Source organism: Homo sapiens, chromosome 3, assembly GCF_000001405.40.
Source record: "Homo sapiens chromosome 3, GRCh38.p14 Primary Assembly".
Taxonomy (NCBI): Eukaryota; Metazoa; Chordata; class Mammalia; order Primates; family Hominidae; genus Homo; species Homo sapiens.
The window spans coordinates 66,453,147-66,478,132 of record NC_000003.12 but is presented as its reverse complement, the minus strand read 5'-3'; the positions used below and the strand labels follow the sequence as shown (position 1 = coordinate 66,478,132).

Genomic DNA, 24,986 nt, shown 5'->3' with positions numbered 1-24,986 from the left:
AAATAAACGGTGTGGAGATGGTGGAGGTGATAGGATTTTCCTTGAGATGTGCTGTGGTTAATGTGTAACCTCTTTCATAAGACTTATGTAGATGTTGATGCGGCCTTGAAGCCATTGCAGGCCCACAAACTCAGGCTGTGTGTCGTGTGTTTGTAGCAAGTCCATGGCTTTGCAGCTAACTCATACCCCCAAGGTTTAATTTTTTTTGGTCGAAACAACAACCAACATCTGTTTGGTAATCCTCCTATCCTACAGCAGGCCACTCCTATCCTGTAGTGCATCACTCAAATAGTTGCTGGAGAAGGCTTTATTAGATCACCTCCCCTCCTCTCCCCTCTTCCTCCCCCATAGGTGTGTCTCCAGCACACCTATGCGTGATTTTACATTTCTGGCTCTGATGATAACATCTTTAAAAATGAGAGAATGAACTTAAGTGAGATAAAGGAAGAAAGGTGGAAAGGATAAGGTTTGAGGCGAGAGGGGATTGGGCCCTCCTTTTTGAGGATGACTGAAGTATAAAAACTTATCTTCTCCTTGTAATAAGACATCTTGGTCTGAAGTCCAGACAGTTTGCCTCTTGGATGAGGTTATTCCAGCCCTACCTACTGCTCCATTGTGCCTTGGCATCTTTGGGGATTGTCCATTTGGAGGGGCCAGATTAGAAAAGGAAGAGCATGATTACAGCAATGTTTTACCAGCAAACTAGGATCATCTTGTCCTGTATTTTTGCCTTGCCAGAATTACCTGTTTTGTCTGAGAAGCAACATTAAGCACAGGAGTTTGGATACCGTGGAATCCAGAGGGCAAATGACCCGGGTCGTGGTGTGTCTGGCTCAAGAAATAACATTTTGAAGTGCCACCTGGCCCTAATGGCAACAGCAGCCATCAGTTAAAAAAACCAGCTGTTAAGTAAGAGCAAGAACAGGAGTGTTTGTGCAAACAACCTTTAAATTTTCTGATCCTTGATGAATGTTAGTTGGTTTGTGAATTATTAACTTCAGCGTGTGTGAGGAAATACTGGCTGCTTAAGTATATTTTTATGTAAGAAAAAAATAAAACTGACCACACCCTCAGCTGCTACCATTTTGGGCTCAGTTCTTGCCTGCTCTCACTCAACAGACGTATTTAAAGCAGAGATAGGAATGCCTGCTCCTCACAGACCACATGTGTGTCGTGCGTCACAGTGCATCAGTTGCCATCACAATTTCACTTTGAAGGGAACGGAAGTGTTTTGCAGCCTGCTGGGATGTATAAGTAGGATGATCCCTACCGGGCTGCACAGAGGATCCAGAGTCCTCATGAGGATTTTGGTATAGATACCAGTGTAGTTGGGAAGAATCCTGCGTATGGAATCAGAAAACTAGGTTTAGTGAATTATAGAAAGCTGGCTTGAGAAATCCATTTAATGTCACTCAGCCAGCAACTTTTAAAGAGTGTTTTGAGGCAGGTTCTTTAATGTGACCCTGGAGAGACAGCCATCTTTTTCTAGTGCTTTGATTTACACAGCAGTGTGTCTCGCAGGAAGAGGCCAGCAGATTTGACTGAGGAACTGCAGTGTGGCATCTTGGAAAAAGGGGATTTGAGGACTTTGAGAGATAGGAAGAGACTTGGAGAAATCCATTTGTGAACCTGGTTTCCACAGCTGTTTTTCAGAGGTCTCTTGGACCTCTTAAAGTTGATACTAATGGACTACTTATTTCTTTTGACTTTTACCTGGGAAAGAGAATTGTGATTAGGCCCTTATCTGGGGGAGAGGAGAGGCTAAGGGAGGAAGGGGTGAAGGATTAAGGAGTTGGAGAGAATTGGAACTGGCCAGACAGGGCTATTTGAGCTTCACATACCTTTGGGTATTGGTTGCTGAATTAATCCTGCAGTGTAAGTCACACTTAGACATGCCTAGGTGTGACTCTTGGGGTTCATTTACTTTACTACAGGGTTTAATCTCTGCGCATTTCGAGTGAGGAAAACATGCTTGCCATGGGAAGGAAGAAAGCAGGTGCTCTGTCTCCCTTCCCCACCTCTTCATTGTCCTCAGTTGCAATGCCATTTGATATAGGTAGTTCTGAAATACATTGTACGCTTTATTCCCAGGCTGCAGGGATTATTGCTGACATAGACCATGGGTCCTGCAGCCAGCCCCCTGTGTATGGAAATGGAAGAAAAGAAATCAAGCTGTAAAGAATCTCTGTTTTGGGGCTTTGTAGTGGCGAATTACGTGAATAACTGAATTGAAAAGGTGCCTGGTTTATACCATCGTGAATACCCAGGCCTTAGATAAATATTGACACTAGTAGTGTGACGGGCAGGCCTACCATTTGTCTCATGCCCCTAGGAATAAACGATCTTTTCTCAGGTGCTTGTGACCTTATAAACCATCCTGACGAGTTTGTGCAGGTGCTTTCTGCACTAGTTCTTTGAGAGTGGATGGTTTTCTCCCTGTGCTTATGTGAGCTTAAACCTAACCAAATCTAAAGCCACTTTGGCTTATTGATCCTGGTTCACTTTGCCACAAGTAAACGCAGTTGTCAGCACAGTTTCGCAGAGTCATGTTTGTGTAGCCATGCGGACTAGACCTGGGATTGGAACAGCTTTTATTTACTTTGATAATATTTCAGGACTGAGTGTGGTGGGGAGTAAGGAGAAAGGAAAGCCAGTTTGGGGAGACTTAGCTGGAGTACAGGTTGCATCTGATAGCTGAGTGCCTGCCTTTTCCAGCAAACTGCTCTCACCCCCAACCACCACCTTTTGTTTGGTTCCCTATATCTCAGGGCATAGAACAAAACCCACTTAATTTTGTTAGTGTGCAGTATGCAGACGCAAGTCATTCTCCACCCTTCTACCTCCCTACCAATGATAGCATGTTTATTGGAGGGAAGTCATGTTGGAGTCACTTGATTTAGGACAGGCTAGGCAGAGACTTTGACAAACCTCGATTTGTCAAAGGAGTGATTGGTAGAACCTGGGAGATTGTGTGTTCGTTATATAGCAAGTGTTAGGCTAAGTCCTAGCTGTTTTCATAGGGCAGCTGCCTCAATGTAGCTGATCTTGTGGATGTCTCAATTTGGTATGACCAGTGGGCTTGGATTTTCTGTTTGGATGTGAAGATGCTCTGTGAATTGAATGGCTCTTGTCTCTCTCTAGTGCACAGAGAGGCTGTGGAGTACCTAGAAGTACACATGGTGTTTCTTAGATTTCTGCCTGTAACTGAAACTCCAAAAAGAGTTTACTGATAATTGACTTTTGACAAGGCTCTTAACCACCTTTGCTGGTGATTGGCTTTAAAAGAAAGAACTCATATTCCACAGGTACCAGTATTCATTATTTGGTTAAGATACAGTTTAGCAAGTGGAATTTGCCGCTAGGGTCCACCCTGTAAGACACATCCTTTGTGAGTAAATGACCTGGACCTGCAAATGGGAGTGGGATGGTTGGGGAGGGGACAGGCGTGTGGTGGGGTGATGCACCCAGCCACATTGAATGTAGATGGGGCCGGGTGCTGTGGCTGACACCTGTAATCCCAGCACTTTGGGAGGCCGAGGCGGGCGGATCACCTGAGGTCAGGAGTTCAAGACCAGCCTGGCCAATGTGGTGAAACCCCGTTTCTACTAAAAATACAAGAATTAGCTGGGTGCAGTGGCGGGCGCCTGTAATCCCAGCTATTCAGGAGGCTGAGATAGGAGCATCACTTGAACCAGGGAGGCAGGGTTTGCAGTGAGCTGAGATCACACCATTGCACTCCAGCCTGTGTGGCAAGAGTGAAACTCCATTTCAAAAAAAAAAAAAAAGAACGTAGATGGACCTTGTGGAAGAGGTGAGGCATTGTTTTTAGGGACTTTGGCGAATGATTTAAAAAAAAGAAATAAAAGTGTGTTGTGGCCTAGTCATTTTCACAGCCAGTTTTCCATTTGACATAGTAAAATTTTAGTATGTTCAAGGATGGAGGTCGCATGCAGCATCTGCTATTTTCTGCTTGTAATTTCAGTGAAAAGGAAGTTCCATGTTTTAATAGCAGCATAGTCTGTGTACAATAATGCATGCTGAAATACTTTGTGGTTTTTGAATCTTGACTTCGTGTCTTCTCAGCCATTTCAACAACCAGAACCAGGGAAATCATCACTGCTCCACGCCTCTAAACAGGGAAAATGATGTGGTAGATGGTCTTTTAAATTTAGAGTGTTTCACGACGTCTTAGTACTGCAGAAAGAAAAACTTAGCCTTTTGGCTTTAGCTAAGCATTTCATGACACACGTAAACTTTAAGAAGCCCAGTGGAAAAAGTGAACAGGACGAGATCCCAAGTCGATAAGCTAGCTATTAAAGTCAGTGACTTCACTGTGGGCCAGACGGCTGACCTTTTAAAACTGTGTGTTTTCTTTAAAATACTTAGCTAGAGATAGTCGCGTGCCTCCCTGTAATACAGCGGATGTATTCTTGAAAAGTTGTGGGTAAATTCGCTTTTCTAATTTGGCTGATTTAATACCAGGGATCTGCTGTCTGTATTTGTATGATCTGCATTGTTTTGAGGCAGCTGAGAAAGAGAGGATAAACCTAGAAAATAATATTGGAAGGAACCTTGTACTTAATCCATTTGTAACGCCGAGCATTGTGGCAAATGCAAGTAAGCATGGATTTTTATATGAGCTTTATAGATTTTGGATGCTTGGGCTTTGCACAGGCACCAGGAGACCTCACAGAGATGTTAGTGAGCTGTGGGTGTGATGTCACACAGTTGAAAAATAAAGGACGTGTGTAAGTTCCAGTGGAGGCTGATAGAGGACTCCCGTACTCTGGGGAACTTCTGGCTTCCCAGGAAGGGTTTTTCTTACAAGCAGCTCCAGCCTGGAAAGGTAGTTACACCCACTTATGTCATTTGTCCCTTAAAATTTTTTGTGGATGGGGAATGAAGGAGATGCCAGTAGCACTAAGGTAAGCTGTTGTTTGTGCAGATGTATTTGTTGAAAACAAACCACTTTCATTTTCTTCTTCAAATAGGACATATAGGAAACCTATACATTGCTCTTTTGTAACCCAGAAGGGTATTTGCCTAAAATTGCCCTTCTCAGTCTCTTTAAAAAACAACAAAAACCCCTAATCACTACACGTCCAGAAGTGAGTCACCACTGAGTTTGCTTTTTTTTTAATCTTCTGACATACATTTCTGTAACATGAGGTTTTTGTACTAATATTTTCATTGATTGGATTATGTTAGAGAGTGAATTGTCAAAATGAGAGTTAAAAAGGCCCAAAATGTCCGATCCTTTCCTGGTCCTAGGAAAGTCCTAGACAAGAGTGTTTAGAATAGTGTGTAATGAATGACTCAGATGGAGGGAAGGGGTTTTTTGTTTTGATGTTTTAATCTGTGTCTGTCGCACCCAGAGGAAGTAATATATTATTGGAGGTTTCATTCTTAAAGAACCAAGAGTCACTGCTATAGAATTTTCTTATCACTTTATCCCAGTGAAATCCGTGGTTGTACCTTCTGCCGGAAAGGCAGGCTTGGAATTTGGCCACCCTGCTCTCATGACCAGGAGCAATTTTATGGGCCTGTGTTAAAACAGGTATTTTGCTCTTTGATAGCAGGGTTCATCTCAGGGCCCTTAGGTGTGAGCGTGTAGTGTGTAAAATCACTCACCGTTAAGTGGTGAATCATTTCAGTGTATCGGAACAGGAGATTCATCACAGCATCACTTACGGGTGGTGACTGTGCCAAAGTTTACGCAATTCTGTTGTGTGGCACATGGCAGTCGAAGAAGCTTTCCTTGTTAGTTTGCATCTTTCCTGTGACCATCCGAAGTTAGTGTTTTTTTTTTTTTTTTTTTTTTTTTTTTTTGAGACAGAGTCTTGCTCTGTCACCCAGGCTGGAGTGCAGTAGTGTGATCTCGGCTCACTGCACGCTCCGCCTCCCGGGTTCTCGCCATTCTCCTGCCTCAGCCTCCCCAGCAGCTGGGACTACAGGCGCCCACCACCACGCCAGGCTAATTTTTTGTATTTTTAGTAGAGATGGGATTTCATCGTGTTAGCCAGGATGGTCTTGATCTCCTGACCTCATGGTCTGCCTGCCTTGGCCTCCCAAAGTGCTGGGATTACAGGCATGAGCCACCACGCCTGGCCCGAAGTTAGTGAATTTTAAAGCTGCATCACATTTTCAGAAACACCCTGGATTTTGCATTGGTGGTTTCATAGGAAGCTAATCAGTCTCCTGAAAGTGGACATTTAGCAGGGGCCAGGGGCGGATGTGGAGGGGTAAAGGTGGAAGTTTTAGGAAAGGAAAACAGTAATCCGTGACCAGAGAAGCTTTGGTGGACTTTACAAAGCACTTGGTGAACCTGGGATTCCAAATGTATCCACCAGGTTAATGTGTCCTTTTTCTCAGTTTTACCCATCCCATATTTCCTGTCCCTTTTGCCTGACTTGTTTTCAGTACTCCAGAAGCAAAAGTCTCCGTTTTCTGCCGCAGTAGAGCGTGGTTTTCATTTATGAGAACCCTCTGCCATCCTTTAACTGAGAGAACCTCTGGGTTTTACCTCTGGCCGCCCTTCATCCCCGCCATGCCCTCCGTCCCTGCTGGTTGGGATGGATGAGCCTTTGCTCTCCCTGCAGCGGCTGGGGCCCTAGGCTGTCAGGGCACCTCGGGGAAGAGTTCAGTGGGAGCAGGGAGCACCTGGCTCCAAGGTTCCAACCCCCCTCTGTTCTGCAGAATGACTGGGCTCCCAGGAGGTAAAGATTCAGCTCTGTTACTGGATGGGGTGAGGATAGGGGGGCTATTGTGCAGGTGATGAGTTTGCCAAGTCCTGTAGAGCTTAAGGACTATGTGAAAGTTAGTGAATTAGTGTTTCTTTTTGGAGATGATAAAGTAGAGAATAGGCGATCCTGAATGACCAGACTTCTGACCCATCTCTTCCCGCTCCCCATTTCCAAGCCTCTGCAAAGCACTTCTCTAATAGCAAAGCCAAATGGTGGCTGTAGGCACCTCTTGCCTGCTGGGGTGGCCATGGTGATATTCCCTTTGTGGCAGGTCTGTGGGAGGGTCAGCCTCTGGCAGCAGCTATTCCCTGCCCAAATTCCTTTTGCTTGTAAAGTCCCCACCAACTGCAGAGCTGGTGTGTTGGAGCGCCTCTTCTTAATTAAATTAATTAATCTTTAGGGGTTAATGATGCACATACCATATTAACAAGAGACTATTATGGGAAATTTGTGGGCTTTCCTCAGTACTAAACTGCACTAAAGATGAGACTGCTTAAAGTAAAACAAAACAAAACCCATTATAGCTAATTATTTTGTTTCTTTTTGGCCAAACTAAGATTTTTGGTAGGAAAGATCCTAGAATCTCCCATTTTAAGGGGTAGTATAGAAAGCAAATGCTAACTGCCTTCAGTGATGGTGAGAAAACAAATTGGGCCTCTTGATTATCTAGTTCAGAACTTTTAAGTAAATGAACAAGGCGATACTCTGTTCTTATGGAAATCAACTTTAATGGCCCCATAGATTAATGTTCGTGAGGGACCTGGCACTGGGGTTTGCTAAGGTTTATATAACCCTTGACTTAACCGCCTGGTGGGTTGTGGGTCTGGCAGCATGGGGCTATTCTTCTCAACTTTGCTGTAAAACCATTTGTGTCTTGCCCTTTCCTTTCTAGGAGGTCCTGACTTCTTGGCCTTTTTGTTTGCTTATTTTACTCCATGCCCTCCATTCCTTATTTTACTTTTCTGGCCTCGTTTCCCAGGACTCCTCTTCAAAAAAACATGCTCTTCTTCTAGGCTTAGCTGAAATCTTGCATTTTCAATAAACGTTTCTCATTACAGCTGATCTTTCCTGCTCTGGACGCCATCTGGCCTTCATTCATGTTATCCATGCTAGGGATGACAAACTCAGATCTCGGGCTGGGAAGATACTGCCGGTGAATAAAGAGGGCATGGGTGAGACAATAAGGAGTGGTGAGGTCTGTGGTCATTGGAATGCTTGGTAAATGCATGTAGTTGATTGTTTCTGTTAGGAATGCTGGCCCTCCGATTATTTTCAAGAAAAGCTGAAACTTTAGTTTTTGGTGAAAACTTTAGGTTTCTACCAACACTGTTCAGTCAGAAACAAGCAAGTTTCCCTGCAGCCCAGCTTTGTACCCACAAACTACCAATTTGTAGCTACTGATCTACCATTACAGAATGCTTGCAAGTGTCAGAGCCTTTGGCTGTGTTATTTGGTCAGTATTCTTTTTTTTTTTTTTTTTTTGGTAGGGACAGGGTCTCACTATGTTGCCCAGGCTGGTCTCAAATTCCAGGCCTAAAGTGATTCCCCGACTTTAGCCTCCGAAAGTGCTGAGATTTATAGGCGTGAACCACCACACCCGGCCAGGAGTCTTAACTTGACCAGTGGGTTGTAAACCACTTCAAGTCACAGACTAGATCTTATCCTAATTTGTTATCAGTTTATCACAGTGCAGTATACCTTGTAGACAATAAATATTTGTCAAATTTGACATTTGTTGGGTGCTAGAGGGAAAAGATGTAGACTTGTACTCAAATTAGCTACAGACCAGGATGACATGTGTGAACTAGTAAGGCCGAGAAGCACATGTAAGACCTTATGGGATCACAGAGGTAGGCATGAGTTTCTTCTCTCAGTTAACGTCACGGGCGTTAGACTTCAGAGGCCCACACTGATTATTATAGCTGATTTTTAAGGAGTAAAAATAGGCAATGAGTCTGGGTCCATATATAGCTGTATGTATATAGTATCTCCTATTTTGAGTCACTGTAGGTTTCCCTTATTTGCATAGATAATGGTCTATGTAAAATTTTCAGAAATGGAAATAACTGGTGACTCATTACTGACTTTGTGAGATACAACTGCCCAAAAGCTTACAAAATGAGCTATTTGTATCATGTTGAGATCTGAGTGATTTTTTTCATTTGATTATTTGCAGAATATGTTCTTTTGCCATAGGGAATATGTGGCTGCTTAGCTTACTGAAGAGAGGTAGCAGCAAGTACAGAACCTTCTCCTGAGTGGAGATCCTTGGATAGGATACTAGAGGAATGATTCCAGTTCAAGATACAATTTTGTCATCTTAATATAAGCCTTTAATGTGCATTATCCGCTTGTTCAGTTGTGGTTTTTGGTTAACAAGGGGAAGCATCACAATACAAAAAAAGGTAAGAACATCTAATATTCTGGGATTTGAACGAAGTCTTATTCTCTTTTATAAAACCTTACAACATGGGAACATAATGTGGTGATTTCATTGGAGCTTGATGTGTACTATGTAATTCCTCAGAAAGTAAAAATGCAGCAGAAACAGTCTTAAAAGCTTAAAGGATTAAATAACTTAAACATTGTTGCATGTTCTTCCTTATTTGCACCCGCTGAAATTTTGAAAGGACGAATCACCTTTTTCCACCTTTTTCTGGTGAGTCCCAAGCAGGCAATTTTTTAACGAGTGGCTGACAGTGCACGTTCTGAGGTTGAGAAAGAGATGAATCGCCAGAGCCCACGGCTCCCAGGCCAGAGCTGGGTGCCCACTGGTGCTCAGAAGTTGGGTTGTTGGATTGCCTCACACTTACTTTCCAGCTGTATTAATGCAGTTTAGCAAACATCTGAAAGCTTAAAATATGCAAAATACTGTGGCGCTCAGGAGTCCAGACAGAATTGAGTAATGGGAAATAGGCTAGCCTGGAAACCAAACCAAGTATGAAAACCTCATTCTTCAGGGAATGCTTGTCACGGATTTAGGACCAATTCCTTCCACTTTGAATTATTCTGTTAATGTTGAAAAATGGAGCCATGGGTTGCGCTCCTCTTCACAGTGAGAGATTTTGTCTGTGTTCGTCAGTGGTCTGTGAGCAATGCTTGCTTTTGGGGATGAAGTGATAATTCTGTTGTCTAACGAAGTGGGGTTGTTTCCTCACCACAGCTTACTCAAAAGTAAACAACTTTTTATCCCTCAACTTCCAAGGAGTCAATGAATTACTGTTCACCAGCTTTGAATAACATTTGCCAAGTTTGTAATATGTGGTTCTGGTTGTAATCCAGGAAGGTGCTTGTCAGATTAGATAAATACCGTTTAAGCCTATAGAATTATACTCTGAGGGCAGTTTTTATTAAGAATGTCTTCCTCATAACTTCAGTTTTTGAAGGCTCTTTCCCTTGTTGAGATGGTTCAGAACTTTTTGTGTGCTCAAAGGACTTGTGTTAATATCAGTGTCCATCCCTCACCACAGCCTTTTACATAGTTCTCGAGTTATTGGGTAGCTCAGATTTGTGTTTTAGATTCAAGTTGCTTCTGTAGGTGACATTTAACTTGAAATGTTTGTGGATTATTTCATGATATAGATATATTCGTTGGTTATTTTGTAATTCAGACACAGCACAGTTTAATAGAAATTTCAGTGCTGATAGAAATAACCTCTGTCTGCATTGTACATTTTGATAGCCACTAGCCACGTGGTACTGTTGAACACTTGAAATATAGCTAATGTGGGCTGGGCGTGGTGGCTCACGCCTGTAATCCCAGCACTTTGGGAGGCCGAGGCGGGCACATCACGAGGTCAGGAGATCAAGACCATCCTGGCTAACACGGTGAAACCCTGTCTCTACTTAAAAAATACAAAAAATTAGCTGGGCGTGGTGGCAGGTGACTGTAGTCCCAGCTACTGGGGAGGCTGAGGCAGGAGAATGGTGTGAACCCAGGAGACGGAGCTTGTAGTGAGCGGAGATGCACCGCTGCACGCCAGCCTGGGCGACAGAGCGAGACTCCATCTCAAAAAAAAAAAAAAAAAAAAATAGCTAGTGTGGCCAAGGAACTGAATTCTTAATTTTATGTAATTTTAATTTCATTTAAATATACATGTAAATAGCCAGTGGCTACTAAATTGGACAGCACAGATTTAGATAGTGGTGGGGATTTTGCAGCTATTGAAGGACTTTAGCTCTTCGGATTCCTTGGGGTTGGGGCAAGGGGACTTGTTAGGAAACGTGCTCAGCGAGCAAACTGTTGTTGTGCACTGGTAAACAGTTTGCTTTTCAGACACGCCTGGATAAAACTTGAGCTGTCCTCTGCAGAGGTGCCTCTTGTGTGTTCAGCGAACGGTGGGCTGAACGGTCATCTTTCAGCAGATTAGCTGAAAGAACATCTATTGCTGGGCTCAGTTGTTCAGAGATCTGCGCACCCTTTGTGCAAGAGCAGGGAAAATTTGTGTTATGACAATGGCTGACAGAATGTTTAATTAAAGCTGCAATTGGCAGTAACTAAATTCTCCGAGGTTTCTTTCCTCTCCTCTTTGCTACTGAAAGGTGCAGAAATGCTTTTGACAGCATCTTTCCTACTGACAGATGAATTGTTTTGACAGGAGAATTTGAAACCTTCAACTGAAGACACATTCAGATGTCAGGCCTGGTACAGGGCGATCGTGTTCATAGAAATAAGTGAGATGCTTTAGATGTGTGTGCATGTCAGCTGCCACCTGAAAGAAAGGCCTCATTAAAGATTTTCACTGATTAACTCTTTGATTGTTCTTGGGATCTCAGATGGGAATTCACGCTGCTTGCTGCAGAGCTCTTGGGCTAAGTGTATTTTCTTAATTACTGAGAAATGCGTGTTATCAGTAAGCAGTGAAAAGTCTTGAAAAAACTAAGTAATTTTAAAAATTTGGAAAAAAAATGGCAATGTTGATAGCAACATCATTCACAATAGCCAAAAGGAGGAACAACCCAAATGTCATCTGTGATGAATGGATACACAAAATGTGGTATATACATACATGGGAATATTAGTTAGCCTTAAAAAGAAATGAAATTCTGCCAGGTGCAGTGGCTTACTCCGGTAATCCTATCACTTTGGGAGGCTGAGGTGGGAGGATTGCTTCAGGCCAGGAGTTCAAGACTAGCCTGGGCAATATAGGGAGACCCTCCCCCCACCATGTCTACTAAAAAAGTAAAATTTAGCCAGGTGTGGTGGTGTGTGTGCCTGTACTCCCAGCTACTTGGGAGGCTGAAACAGGAGGATCACTTGAGCCCAAGAGTTTGAGGCTGCAGTGAGCCATGACTGCACCACTGCATTCCAGCCTGGGTGACAGAGTGAGACCCTGTCTCTAAAAAAAATGAAATTCTGACACATGTGACAACATGGATGAATCTTGAAGACATTATGTTAAGTGAATTAAGCCACTCACAAAAGGACAAATATTCTATAATCTACCAACATGAGGTACTTAAGAGTAGTCAGATTCTTAGAGACAGAAGTAGAATGGTGGTTGCCAGGGGCTAGGACAGAGGGGAATGAGGAGCTAGTGTTCAGTGAGTACAGACTTTCAGTTTGGGATGTTGAGAAACTTCTAAAGTTCTGGAGATGGACGGTGGTGATGGTTGCACAACAGTGTGAAGGTACTCGGTGCCACTGAAGAGTACACTTAAAAATGGTTACAAAGGCAAATTTTATGTTATATGTATTTTACCACATTAAAAAAATTATGCTCAGGCCGGGCACGGTGGCTCACACCTGTAATCCTAGCACTTTGGGAGGCTGAGGCAGGTGGATCACCTGAGGTCAGGAGTTTGAAACCAGCCTGGCCAACATGGTGAAACCCTGTCTCTACTAAAAATACAAAAAAATTAGCCGGGCATGGTGGCAGGCACCTGTAATCCCAGCTACTCTGGAGGCTGAGGTAGGAGAATTGCTTGAAAACAAGAGGTGGAGGTCACAGTGGGCCAAGATCATGCCACTACACTCCAGCCTGGGCGACAGAGCAAGACTCGTCTCAAAAAAAAAAAAAAAAAAAAAAAAATTATGCTCAGAGTTTGTCTTCTTGAATTGGGCCAACAAGAAAGTGTCTCTGAGGATTTTATTTCATATTGTAGTTCCTGGGGAGAATGTGGTAACTATTTTCCTTATTTCCCAATAAACCTATTGAGGATCTACAGCTGGCTCCACTCTTTAGGCCCACTTGCTTCTCAGACTTAAAAACCAGAACAGCCCCTTGTCCACAGCAGAAAGGGACGTGAGCCTTGGTGGCTGTCTTCTTTTTTGCCAACAGGTGCTCTGAGAGGAGAGTTACCCTTTCTGGGTAGCACCCTAACACTTGAATGTTGATAGGTGGCTTTTCTAGTTAATTCCAGCTGACCCCGTGAAAACTTAACGTTTCCACTTCTAAGTGTGTTCATCTCTGTTGCTGCTTGTTGGCATCTCAGTGTTAAGTCCTGATACTGCTAGGCTTCTAGATAGTACTGGAATGGAAGACCCTTTGCTCAAGTAGCCTTACCTAAAAAGCAAAATTTTTATAACATTTTTGAAATGTGAATACATTTTGTCTGCTCTTTAAGGGAAAGACAAACCCAAGGGTGTTGTGACTTAAATGGTTTTATACCAAGTTGCTGAAGACTTTGGATACTTGCTGGGTGGGAAGTGAGGGAAGTTATCTCATTTCAGATAGTCCCAAACCGAGCCATCAGTTTAATTGCGTAAGACCTGGTGAGCCCTAGCTCTATCCAGGCCACATGTGTAAGCCAGAAACATATGTTCCCTTTGAACCTAATGGCCTCAAGAGTCAGTGGCCCAGATCAGAGGCAAAAACTGGCGATCCTCAAGCCAAATGGGGCCTGCAGATATGTGAAATCTTTTCAGTTTTTTTTTTTTTTTTAAGTAATAAAGCAACCCTGAATGGGCCAAACAAAACATGAATTCAGATCGTGAGCCTCTGAGAAGACGGGTCTGCACTGGCCCTTGTTTCGGGGGACAAGAAGCAAATGCCCCTTTAGGTGTGCGGCAGGCACTTCCGTGTCAGCCTTGTTACACACAGGGCAGGCTCACCAGCCCTCTCTTACTTGCTTGTCCTCTAAGCTCTTGCCTTTGTGGTTTCTGAGTATTTCTCTAATATCCCTTCCTGCTTCACAACTCCTGTTACCTATGATGATACAAAAGTTACAGTCATCGTAAACTCCCAGTATCTTTACACCCAGAAACAATATTTCCATCCCCCTTTTTATGATAATCTGCTCAAAATAGAAGAAAATCTCAGTCTATTAAGTCCTTTTTCTAATGTGGGAGAATTCTCTCAATTTCTAGATTTTCTTTCTCAAGTCTAAGTTGGGATTTCTGGGTACCCATTAACAAATACCCCCAGGCACAGACAAGCTCACACTTGAGTTCAATATGCGGTTTAAAGCATTACCACCTTCAGTCTTTATGGTAACATAATCTCTGGACAAATTGCTTTTAATTCAGGCTGTACCCATGAATACAGAAGTGCCATTAGTTTCAAGTGTAGTTTGACTTTTATTTAGATGAACGTCTCTGAGCTCACAGTGAAATGGCTCTCAGCTCTAGGTTAGTATTGATTGAAATGTCTCTGGAGTAAGTTTAAAAGATTGTTGCCACAATACGTGACACTTTCTGAGACAGACTTTAAACTCAAAATTAGTCGTACTGTTAATTGGCAGTAGTGTGAGTGGAATTAATAGCTGAGATGAAAAATGTTAACCTCTTTGGCAAACACGGGGCTGGGTAGACTTTGGAGGCAAGGAAAGATTACTTTCTGGCAAAGAAAGTTAGGGCCCATTTGGATCACATCTTTGTGGCTTCTGTTCCTGAAAGATGAAGCTGCTCTGGTTGAGATTGTGGTCCCCTAACAGAATAGTTGCCCAGCTTGCTCTTTGTCCGCCTCTAAGGGTATGGCTGGGTTATGAAGCAGGGAGAGTTTTAATTCTGAACCATTGACACAGACGCCATCATCTTGAGAAAGCTGCTCATGTGAGGCTTTCCCTGCCTGTGGTTAACACGAACAAGAATTTCCAGCAACTGGCCCTTTTCTCCTGTGTGACTGTCCCTCCCGGTTTATTCAGTGTAGGTGGGAATACTGTGTTCATAAGTAGCCTTATGATTCAGGATCTTACAGTGTTTACTTTCTAAACACTCACTTGAACTTTGACTATTTGTGCAATTTTTAGTCTTAAGCTCTTGTGTAGACCAGGGTTTTTCAACCTCTGAATCCTAGGATTGACATTTAGGGCCGCGCAGTTCTCAGTCGTGCAGGGCTGCCTGTGCATTGTAAGATATTTAACAGCATCTTTGGCTTGTATCCACCAGATGCCAGTAACACCCCCCACTCCCTGCCACCAGTTGTGACAACCAAAAATGTCTCCAGACATTGCCAAGTGTCCTCTGGGGGGCAAAATCATCCCTGGTTGAGAGCCACTGGTTTAGACAATGAAGGGGTTTTTTCCCTTTTCTCCTTTACTGCTGCTTGATGTTGATGCTACTAAAACATTAATTTAAAAAAATGCCGTTAAGAATAGCCTTGTACTTGATAGGGTGCAAAGCATTTGGACCAGGACACCTTAATGTAGGTAGGGAGCTGGTTTACCTTAGAATTTCTTTCCAAGTTGTTAAATAGTGAAATGATACTGATAGAAATTCGTTTGGGTTTTCATAGAGTTGCTTGGAGTGCCTTATTTATGGATGTAGGTGGGGAGGGGGTATGTCTGTAAATCTCAGTATCAATACGGTTACTTAATACATGATCATGGGATGGGGGCTTGGATTTGAGGGTGGGGGAGCCAGGAGAAGAGAAGATTTCTGAATTCTGGGTATGATGCCAGGTTGTTGATTCCGTTTTTTTCTCTCTCTGTCTTTACCAGAAACCTGAGTTACAACAAACTCTCTGAGATTGACCCTGCTGGTTTTGAGGACTTGCCGAACCTACAGGAAGTGTGAGTCTCCCCCTAAACCTCTGGTGGATGGAAGGATGGAGAGCTCTTTGGGAAAATCCTCTTGTATTGCAGCATCGCTCACTCCCCTAGATCCGCAGTGTAAACTTGTAGGAAGGAACATTTGTGTATGGACTGTGTTGATGAATTCTACTCCTGCTTATCTCTCCCTTACTGTAGGCTCTTGAAGGGTGTGTTACAATTCAGTAGGCATAGAGCTCCTGGAAATCCTGGGCGCATGGTGGGTGTATAGCAGAGTCCCTCCATTGTGGGAAGCCTTGTAACTGGAGTGACACATCCTGGGCTGGTACTTTCTCACAGTTCCTGCACCACCACGCCCAGCTAATTTTTGTATTTTTAGTAGAGATGAGATTTTGCCGTGTTGGCCAGGCTGGTCTCGAACTCTGGCCTCATGTGATCTGCGCGCCTTGGCCTCCCAATGTGCTGGGATTACAGGTTAATCAGCCCACTCAACAGTGGCATGTGAGCCACCAAACGTGTATTTCCCAGGAAGTGAAGTTATAGAAGGATGGACTATAGAGGCTTACCTGTTCCTCTCCACCTCCAAACAGAGCTAGGTATGACTGCCTTTGGAGCTCTAGGCTTGCTGTCCCTTGCAGTGTCTTGGAAATCAGGCTGCAGTCTTTCCTTCTTTTTAATGCATTCTGTTTTTGATGTGGATGTTAGGATTATCAGGAATTTTAGTTTCATGGAGACTTTATAGAAACCTTCACATATATGTAGTATACATATTGTAGAAAAATTGGCAACTACAGAAACGTGTGAAGAATGAAAATCACCAGTATTCTCACCCAGGCATACCCATTGTGAACACCTAGTGAAAACTATTACATGTACATATGTAATTTTAGGATCAAACTGTACATTGTGGTTTTATATCAGTCTTTCCTACTTATCCTTACATAAGATACTTTATCATGTAAATTAAAAGTTTTTGAATGTCCTGTTTTAGCTTTTATGTAAAACTACTATACGTGGATATTTCATATATTACCTACCCAGTACTTCATTATTATTTTTATTAGACATTATTAGGTAAGTTTTTTACCCATTTTTGTTATGAGTAACTGATAAAAGTCTTATTTGTTGTTTTTTGTTTGTTTGTTTGTTTGTTTAAGACAGGGTCTCGCTCTGTTGCCCAGGCTAGAGTGCAGTGGCGTGATCTCAGCTCACTGTAACCTCTGCCTCCCGGGTTCAAGTGATTTTCACACCCCAGCCTTGTGAGTAGCTGGGACTACAGGTGTGTGCCACCACATCCAGCTAATTTTTTTAGTAGAGATGGTGTTCCGCCATGTTGGTCAGGCTGGTCTTGAACTCCTGACCTCAAGTGATCCTCCTGCTTTGGCCTCCCAAAGTGCTGGGGTTATAGGTGTGAGCCATTGCACCCAGGCTTACTTGTTATTCTTTGATTCCATTATTGATGACATATCTAAAGAAATTTTAATTTCATCAGCTGGTACAATTTGCAAAATACTTGCATTCCAAACCCTCATCTCCAGATTCTCCAGATTGGCGTTTATAATTTCTGCTTCTGTTTAAAAAAGGTTTAGGCTTCCACAGTTAAAGAAGCATCAGAACAGGAAGGGGCCTTGGAAATGGTTTCTCTAGGACTCTCATTCTCCCAGAGGATCAGTGAGTCCATGGCAGGGGAAAGGAAGTTTGAAGTGGGTCACTGTGTTAGTTTGCTAAGGCTGCTGCCATAACAAACAAATAGCACAGGCTGGGTGCCTTGAACAGCAGAAATTCATCTTCTCACAGTCTGGAAGCAGGAAGTCCAAGATCAAGGTACTGGCAGGTTTGGTTTCTTCCGAGGCCTTGCACTGTGCCCTCACGTGGTCTCTCCTCTGTGTGCATTCATGGTGTCTCTGTGTGTGTCCAGATTTCCTCTTCTTATAAAGACACCAGTCATATTGGATCAGGGCCCATCACCTCTTCAAAGGCCCCATCTCCAAATGCAGTCACATGCTGAGGTACTAGGGGTTAGAGCTTCAGCATATGGACCCTAGGGGAACACAGTTCAGCCCATCATAGTCACCAAGATGATAAACCCAGGCCATCATGGAGCTTGTTAGGTTTGTAACCCAGTGCTTTCCCTGATCCAAGCTGTCTTTAATGCTTGTGGTTAGAATATATTCAAATTCTGTGTACATCTCCAAACTTAGTGGTTTCTTTTAGGACTGGACAAAATTGGAGAATTCCCTCTAGCATCATTCAAGCTTTCATTGAATACTTACTCGAGCATCTCCTCTGTCCAGGAGCTATTCTGGGTGCTGGGGCTACAAGAGTGAACAGGACACAGATAGGGCTGGGACTGGGGAGGGGCAAGTGAGGCACCCAACACAGGCGCAAAATTTATGGGGACACCAAAGACTCAGCAGTCAAGATAAAGGGTATTTTGATACAATATTTTGAAAGTCAAAATGAATGTAAAAAAAAAATGATGAGTAAAATATAAAAAGCTTAGATCAAGATAGGATTAGTATTACTGATTTCTTTCCTTTTGCCTTCAGTTCCAGGATGGCTTCACACGGTGCTGTTGCTGATTTTGTCTTGATTTAAACTTTTCATATTTTGTTCATCATGAATTTTGTTTTGCATTCATCTTCATATTTAAAAAATATTGCATTAATATAGTCTTTGTCCTCGTGACTGGGTTTTTGGCTGTCCCTTAAATTTTGTGCCCCTCCCTACCCAATTCCAGCCCTGCAGACAAACCTCTCCTCTCACTGAGTTTACATTAAGTTGAGGGAAGCCATGGACTGAATAAGGAAACCAGTAAGACTTATTGGAGATAAGTGGTATGGGGGAAATAGAACAGAGTAATGTGGGAGTATTTTTTGTATGAAGAATTTTGGAGGCTTGATAACGGAAACAGTGTGATCAGGAAGGTCCTGAGTGAGCAGGTGTGAATGATGAGGACAGGGAGCACTGCAAGTACAGAGCCTCAAGAAGGGAACAGGCTGAGGACCACTGTGCCTGGCATGCACGATGGAGGGGTGCGTGGCCAGAGGCCAGGTCCTTTTATGGTTTCAACCCTCACTGACCCCTATCTATCAGGGGCAGGCATGGTACATGCTCTGGTGAGCATTTTCAGTGGTGTTCTAACTCCCTGTTCCTGTTGTTCCTTGCCTAGACAGGCTTTTACCTTTCATTTGATTTGGCTCCCGTGACCTGCAGCCTGTACTCAGCACTTGTTAGAGTTTATGTCCCACCCAGCTCTAGAACTGAGCACTCCCACCTTTCCTTCATTGGAGATACTGGTTATGAGTCTCAAAAATATATTTCTCACTTAGGAACAGTCACAGTAATTGTAGCAGTGTGCTAATAAACCTTTGGAGAATACGACATCACTTAACCCTAACATCAACTCTGTGATATAAAACATTATCTTTTTTTTTTTTTTTTGAGATGGAGTTTCGCTCTTATCTCCCAGGCTGGAGTGCAGTGCAATCTTGGGTCACTGCAACCTCCGCCTCTTCGGTTCAAGTGATTCCCCTGCCTTAGCCTCCCAGGTAGCTGGGATTACAGGTGCCTGCAACCGTGCCCAGCTAATTTTTATATTTTAGATAGAGATGAGATTTCACCATGTTGGCCAGGCTGATCTTGAACTCCTGACATTAGGTGATCCACCCGCCTTGGCCTCCCAAAATGCTAGGATTAGAGGCATGAGCCACCACGCCTGGCCTGATATAAAACATTTTCTTTCTTTCTTTTTTTTGAGATGGAGTGTTGCTCTGTCACCGTGGCTGGAGTGCAGTGGCGTGACCTCAGCTCATTGCAGCCTCCACCTCCTGGGTTCAAGTGATTCTCATGCCTCAGTTTCCCAGGTAGCTGGGATTACAGATGTGCACCACCACGCCCAGCTAATTTTTGTATTTTTAGTAGAGATGGGATTTCGCCGTGTTGGCCAGGCTGGTCTCGAAGTCTGGCCTCATGTGATCTGCCTGCCTTGGCCTCCCAGTGTGCTGGGATTACAGGTATGAGCCCCCACACCCAGCCCCTTAAAACATTTTCCACCCAGCCCCTTAAAACATTTTCTTTGTAAGCATTTTCTCAGCTGGGTGCAGAAGGATCACTTGAGCCCAGGAATTTGAGACCAGCGTGAGCAACAAAGTGAGACCCTGTCTCTACAAAAAATTAGCTGGACATAGTGGCCCATGCCTGTAGTCCCAGGTTCTTGGGAGGCTGAGGCCTCAAGATCGCTTGAGCCCAGGAGGTTGAGGCTTCAGCGTGCCATGTTTGCACCATGCACTCCACCCAACAGAGCAAGACCCCATCTCTGAAAAAAAGTAATAAAAATAAAAGGAGTTTCTCTGCTTTGCAGAAGAGGAAACAGATACTTAGAAAAGTTAAACTTGCACAGTGTCACATGGTTGGTAAAGCTGAGAGTTGAACTCAAAACCTGTGCTAACCTTGGCGGCTGCACTACCTTAAATTCCTATATCCTTCATCTTAACTCTCACAGTCAACTGAAGATGAAGAGGAACTGAGGCATGGGATTTGGCTGAAATTGCGTGATTAGTGAGTGGTAGAACTTGACCCATGTTCTCCAGTATAATCCTGGTCCACACCATCTATGGCAACAGTACCGTCTGAGTGTGGGGGATGTTAAGACAGAGGTCATATCTTAGGGATTCAATATGATGTGGTGGGAAAAACTCTCATTTTGGTAGCAAATAGACTCACGTTTGATTTCTGGTTCTGCCCCTTACTAGGGTCCTGAGACCCTAGACAAGTTACTTAGTGCCTCAGCGTTTGCTTTCTTTCTTCTGTAACATTGACATCGTAACACATTGTTGGTGTTACTGTAGTTATTAAGATGATGCACAGGGCCTTGCACATGCGAGAGGCTCACTGAATATTATCCCTCTTCTCTCCTGCTACGTTTGGAACTGCCCAGCCCTCCAAGCTGGGTGCATTGTTTAGAAATGAATCTTTGCAGGCTGACTGGTTGAATGTCTTACCATTGTGCCTCCTATCCCTAGTGTCACTCCCTGTTCTGTGAGATGGATGAGATGAATTCCCTGCTGCCTAGAACAGTAGAACTTCTCACTGATAAAAGACCCAGGCCTTACCCTAAGGGAATTCTAAAAAGTCGTGGAGACAGAAAGAGGCTGTTAGGTGTTGAGGGGTGGGGAGGTGGGGAAGGATATTGAAGAAAAGAAAAAAAATCGTAGCTGACATGCTACTGCTTCAAAATTAACCAGTCTCCAGTGTTGCCCAGGCGCTGTCAGCTCTCCCAAACTTTATAGAGCCTTCAGTCTGGAGCCCTCATTGAGAATGGAGCCACAGGCTGGCAGAACAGCAGGCAGTGGTTTAGCAGTGGTTTTATTCTGGAGGCCTCAGAACCACATGACATCATGGGCCGGCTGGAGAGAGAAGGCGAGGCCCCTGGAGGACATGAGGACGCTTGTGCAGCTGCGTCCAAGCCACACGGTCTTCACTGCCCACAGCCCTGAGGAAAGCCCACCAGGGAGTGCCTCCAGCTGGGGTCCTGGCCAGCAGGCTCCTCTATTAATAAAAGGGGCTATTTATACAGTCCTCTGTAGATACTGCCTTCAGATCACAGTACTGCCGCCTGGCCCGCGAGTGCCTGCTGTGGGTGTTGCCGTGTGCTTGCCAGGGCCACTGACCTGGTAAGGAAGCCTCAAGTGTGCCCTGCCTGCTATTGGGTATTTGTGGTTCATCGCACTGTGTCAGGCTGCTGCTCCCCACAGTGGGTGTGTGTGAGCAGGGGTGCGGGGGATGGTAGTATGTTTAGGGAGAGGGTAAAATAATGAGGGTTGTCGTTTTGGGGTACTGCCTTTTGGCTGTGAATTACTATCACTTTTTTTTTTTTTTTTTTTTAAGACAGGATCTCACTCTGTTGCCCAGGCTAGAGTGCAGTGGTATGGTCATAGCTGACTGCAGCCTCAAATTCCCAGGCTCAAGCGATCCTCGCACCTCAGCCTCCTGAGTAGCTGGAACTACAGGCGTGCACAACCACTCCTGGCTAATTTTTTGTAGAGATGGGTTTTGTCATGTTGCCCAGGCTAGTCTCGAACTACTGGGCTTAAATGATCCTCCTGCCTTGGCCTCCCAAAGGGCTGGAATACAGGTGTGAGCCACCATGCCTGGTCCTCCTGCCATCTCTTAAGCATATCCTGTGTATCTGTCAATATCCTGAGATCTTAGGTTTAATTATTTCAGCTGGATCCTCCCAAAACCCTACAAAGCTGGCACTTGTATTATTTACATTCTTCAGAAGAGGGAAGTAAGGGACAGCAAGGCTGAGTGACATGCTTAGCATTGGATTGATAAAGGGTGCAATTGGAGTTGAGTGAACCAAGATATGTCTGATTTAAACATCTGAGCTATATAATCCCATCCTAATAATCCCTGTTCTGTAACTGTGCCTCAGTTTCCTTTCTTAAGGAGAGGTGATAATTTAGTACTTTCCTCAAAGTGTTAGCATGTCATTCACTGAGATATTGCACATAGAAAACTTAGGACAGAGTCTGGCACATAGTAGATGTTCACCTTTATTATTGTTTATTTTGTTAAAGTAATTATATCCTACGCTAAAATAATTTTATCTGGCTATCTTGTGTAGAAACCACGTATCATAAAGTCTCACCACATCAATTAGTTAGTATACATTATTCTCTAGTAACTAAAGCAGAATACAGTTATTAAGTGGCCCTGCTTCCGAAACCCATATTCCTATGTGATACTGATGGCTTTCACCCTTTTAAGAAACAAAACCAACTACAGTTTCAACGCACTGCCCAACTTTGACTACTATTAATTGCAGCTCTGTCTGTATTTGGGAGCAACCAAAGAAACAGCCACTATGTCTGCCAGTAGTGGATTGGCCAGATAAATTATGGTCCATTCATACCAGCAGAGGACTACTGTGCCACCAGTTAAACGAATAGTGGAGACCTCCAAGATATATTACTAAAGAGAAATGGCGGTACACAACAGTCTGTTTAATACACGTACATTTGTGCAAAAGAAAAACACATACACATCTCTAGTAGCCAGCAGCAGGAGCTGCCCTTTGGAGGCAGACCAGAGGATGGAACTGCAAAGAAGCTTTATGTTTACTATGTATTCTTTTTTGAAATGGTTTGAAAACTTTACTCTGTGCTTATACCAGCTATTTAATGAGTAAATAAATAACAGCAAGAAAAATTCAGGCATGGTGGCTCACGCCTGTAATCTCAGCACATTGAGAGGCCGAGAAGGGCGGATCACCTGAGGTCAGGAGTTCGAGACCAGCCTGGCCAACATGACGAAACCCCGTGTCTACTAAAAATAAAAAAATTAGCTGAGTGTGGTGGCCTGTGCCTATAATCCCAGCTACTCGGGAGGCTGAGGCAGGAGAATCGCTTGAACCCAGGAGGCAGAGGTTACAGTGAGCCGAGATCATGCCAATGTACTCCAGCCTGGGCCACCACAGAGCGAGACTCCGTCTCAGAAAAAAGACAAGCACAATTTCTGCATTGGTTTGACATTGTTGAAGCCAAATTTGATTAAGATTGATGATGATGATGATGTAGTACTATGAAATAGCCTTTATCACATTTTGTAGCTTACAAAATGTAAAACTTCCCTTAAGTCAATTAAATGGAAGTTTTGGGAGAAAGGTGAGGGACCAGAAGGTCCAAGCTGACCTTACGGATTGAATTGGGAAAGGACCCACCCCTAGGTTCTGCCCTGGGGTCCGGAATCCTTTTACCTTAGCTACACCTTCTCTAGCCCCAGGGTCTGGCCGTGATTCATGGGTCTGATGCATCTGAGGCACTTCTTAATCCTGAATCATCAGAAAAGGTTTAGAAATAGAGACCAGACGTTTCAGAGAGATTTTTAGGGCCTTGGATGGAAGTAAATTGTGGGGAGAGATGGGCGTCGGCAGGGGAAGTAAATTGGCGGGTAGGGGGTGAGAGAAGACTGTACAATCGTAGATATTTAAAAAAATTTCATCAGGCACAATCTTTACTTCCTAAAATTTCTTTATTCATGGAGACTCTGCTAAACTTCCTGAGTGCCTTTCCCCTCAAAGCTGTAGCTGTGCTATTTTTGACCAGTCTCTATTTCAGTCTGGCAAGAAGTTCTTTGCATCTCAGAGTGAGCTGGGCCTCTGCTGCCTTCTGAGGAGAGTATTCTTGTTTCAACAGGGGACAGAGTGAACAAAAAGGGAGCCAGCAGTGGTGGAGCTAACAGACTTACTCTGAATAGCGGTTCTTTTTTCAGTAGAAATGATCTGGAAGTAAGCTCACTGTGCAGGGCCTCTCCTGGGGGCTTTGAGTGTCCTCCCTGTAAGTCAGGCAGCCCTGTTGCCACCAGAGCCCACTGTTTCTGACTGAGCCCTTGACTCGGGCCTGCTCATCTAGACATAGAAGGCCCAGTTAAGCTCCAGCACTGGTCCACCACCCCTCTATGCTCCACTTCCAGCAGTTCTGTCACAATTTGAAATATCATGATGCCCGCTTCCCTTGTTCATTTATTTCTGTGAAATTGGGTGGAGCAGTTTGTCACAGATACAGTAGGCCTGGCCTGAGACCAGGCTCATCAGGCGTAGCCCCCTGCAGAGAAGTCCATACGCTTTGTTTCAGGTTTAAAATCAAGTGAGATCCTAAGCTGGCTGAAAAACAACTGTGCTGTTACCTAAGGGATTATGAGCTTTCCAGCTGGCCTTTGAGCCCGCTGCTCTCCTCTGGTTTGTAGTCATACTTTTTTCAGGTCTTGGCCATGTCCTCTCTAGTAGCATGACCCTAGATGAGTGACTTAAACTGGCCTAGAGAACTTACCGGTAATGTAGAGAATGGTAGTAGTTAACCTGGTACCTGATTCAAAGTTGTTGTGATGGTGAAAGTGCACGAGGCATGTCGAGTTTTTGCTGAAATAAAGAAATAGAAGGTAATGAGGAAAAACCTAGACTTTGGGGCTAGGCACCCTGGGCCACTGCAACTTATTGCTGGTGACCTTGGTCAAATTACTTAACATCTGTGTTTCAGTTTCCTCATTGGTGCAGTGGAAATGTTCCTGAGACCTACTTCTGAGGGCTGTAGAGATGCATTAATATACTGAAAAGCTCTTAGAGCTGTGCCTGGCACATAGTCAGCCTTCATTAATTTACCTGCTTTTGTTTTTGTTACTAACATTCTCTGTGTTTGAGAAGAAATCGCAAGCAATGAAAGAGTTCTTAGGCAAGCTGCCTGATTGACAGCAGGTCCCCGACCTTAGTTTTTCTTGCTCTGATAAAACCTGGGGGTCTCTTGTAATAAT

General features: G+C 43.9%; 1 protein-coding gene across 6 annotated transcripts in view, besides 3 other annotated features; it reads left to right on the top strand.

Moving 5' to 3' along the window:
• The window catches only part of LRIG1 (leucine rich repeats and immunoglobulin like domains 1), a 122,325-nt gene that overhangs the window by 22,989 nt on the left and 74,350 nt on the right, over nt 1-24,986 (top strand). For all 6 annotated transcript variants that reach the window (NM_001377345.1, XM_047447939.1, NM_001377344.1 and 3 more), the window contains exon 2: nt 15,624-15,695. Coding sequence is in view for 4 of the 6 variants with exons in the window: in XM_047447939.1 (XP_047303895.1) it covers nt 15,624-15,695 (72 nt within the window). In the remaining 2 variants the exon portion in view is untranslated. The remainder of the gene's footprint in view (nt 1-15,623; nt 15,696-24,986) is intronic.
• Nucleotides 5,603-5,652: a silencer, noted in NCBI's record as "silent region_14504". NCBI's record gives its function as "represses an Ori minimal core promoter by ATAC-STARR-seq in GM12878 lymphoblastoid cells {active_cell/tissue: GM12878}" and the evidence as "EXISTENCE:reporter gene assay evidence [ECO:0000049][PMID:35858748]".
• Nucleotides 14,840-14,984: an enhancer, noted in NCBI's record as "145 bp enhancer 188 fragment used in the MPRA reporter construct; PK_construct_2243". NCBI's record gives its function as "activates an SV40 promoter by MPRA in HepG2 cells {active_cell/tissue: HepG2}" and the evidence as "EXISTENCE:reporter gene assay evidence [ECO:0000049][PMID:23512712]".
• Nucleotides 14,905-14,918: a transcriptional cis regulatory region, noted in NCBI's record as "HNF4 motif; enhancer activity is reduced when this motif is scrambled". NCBI's record gives its function as "necessary for full MPRA enhancer 188 activity {active_cell/tissue: HepG2}" and the evidence as "EXISTENCE:site-directed mutagenesis evidence [ECO:0005528][PMID:23512712]".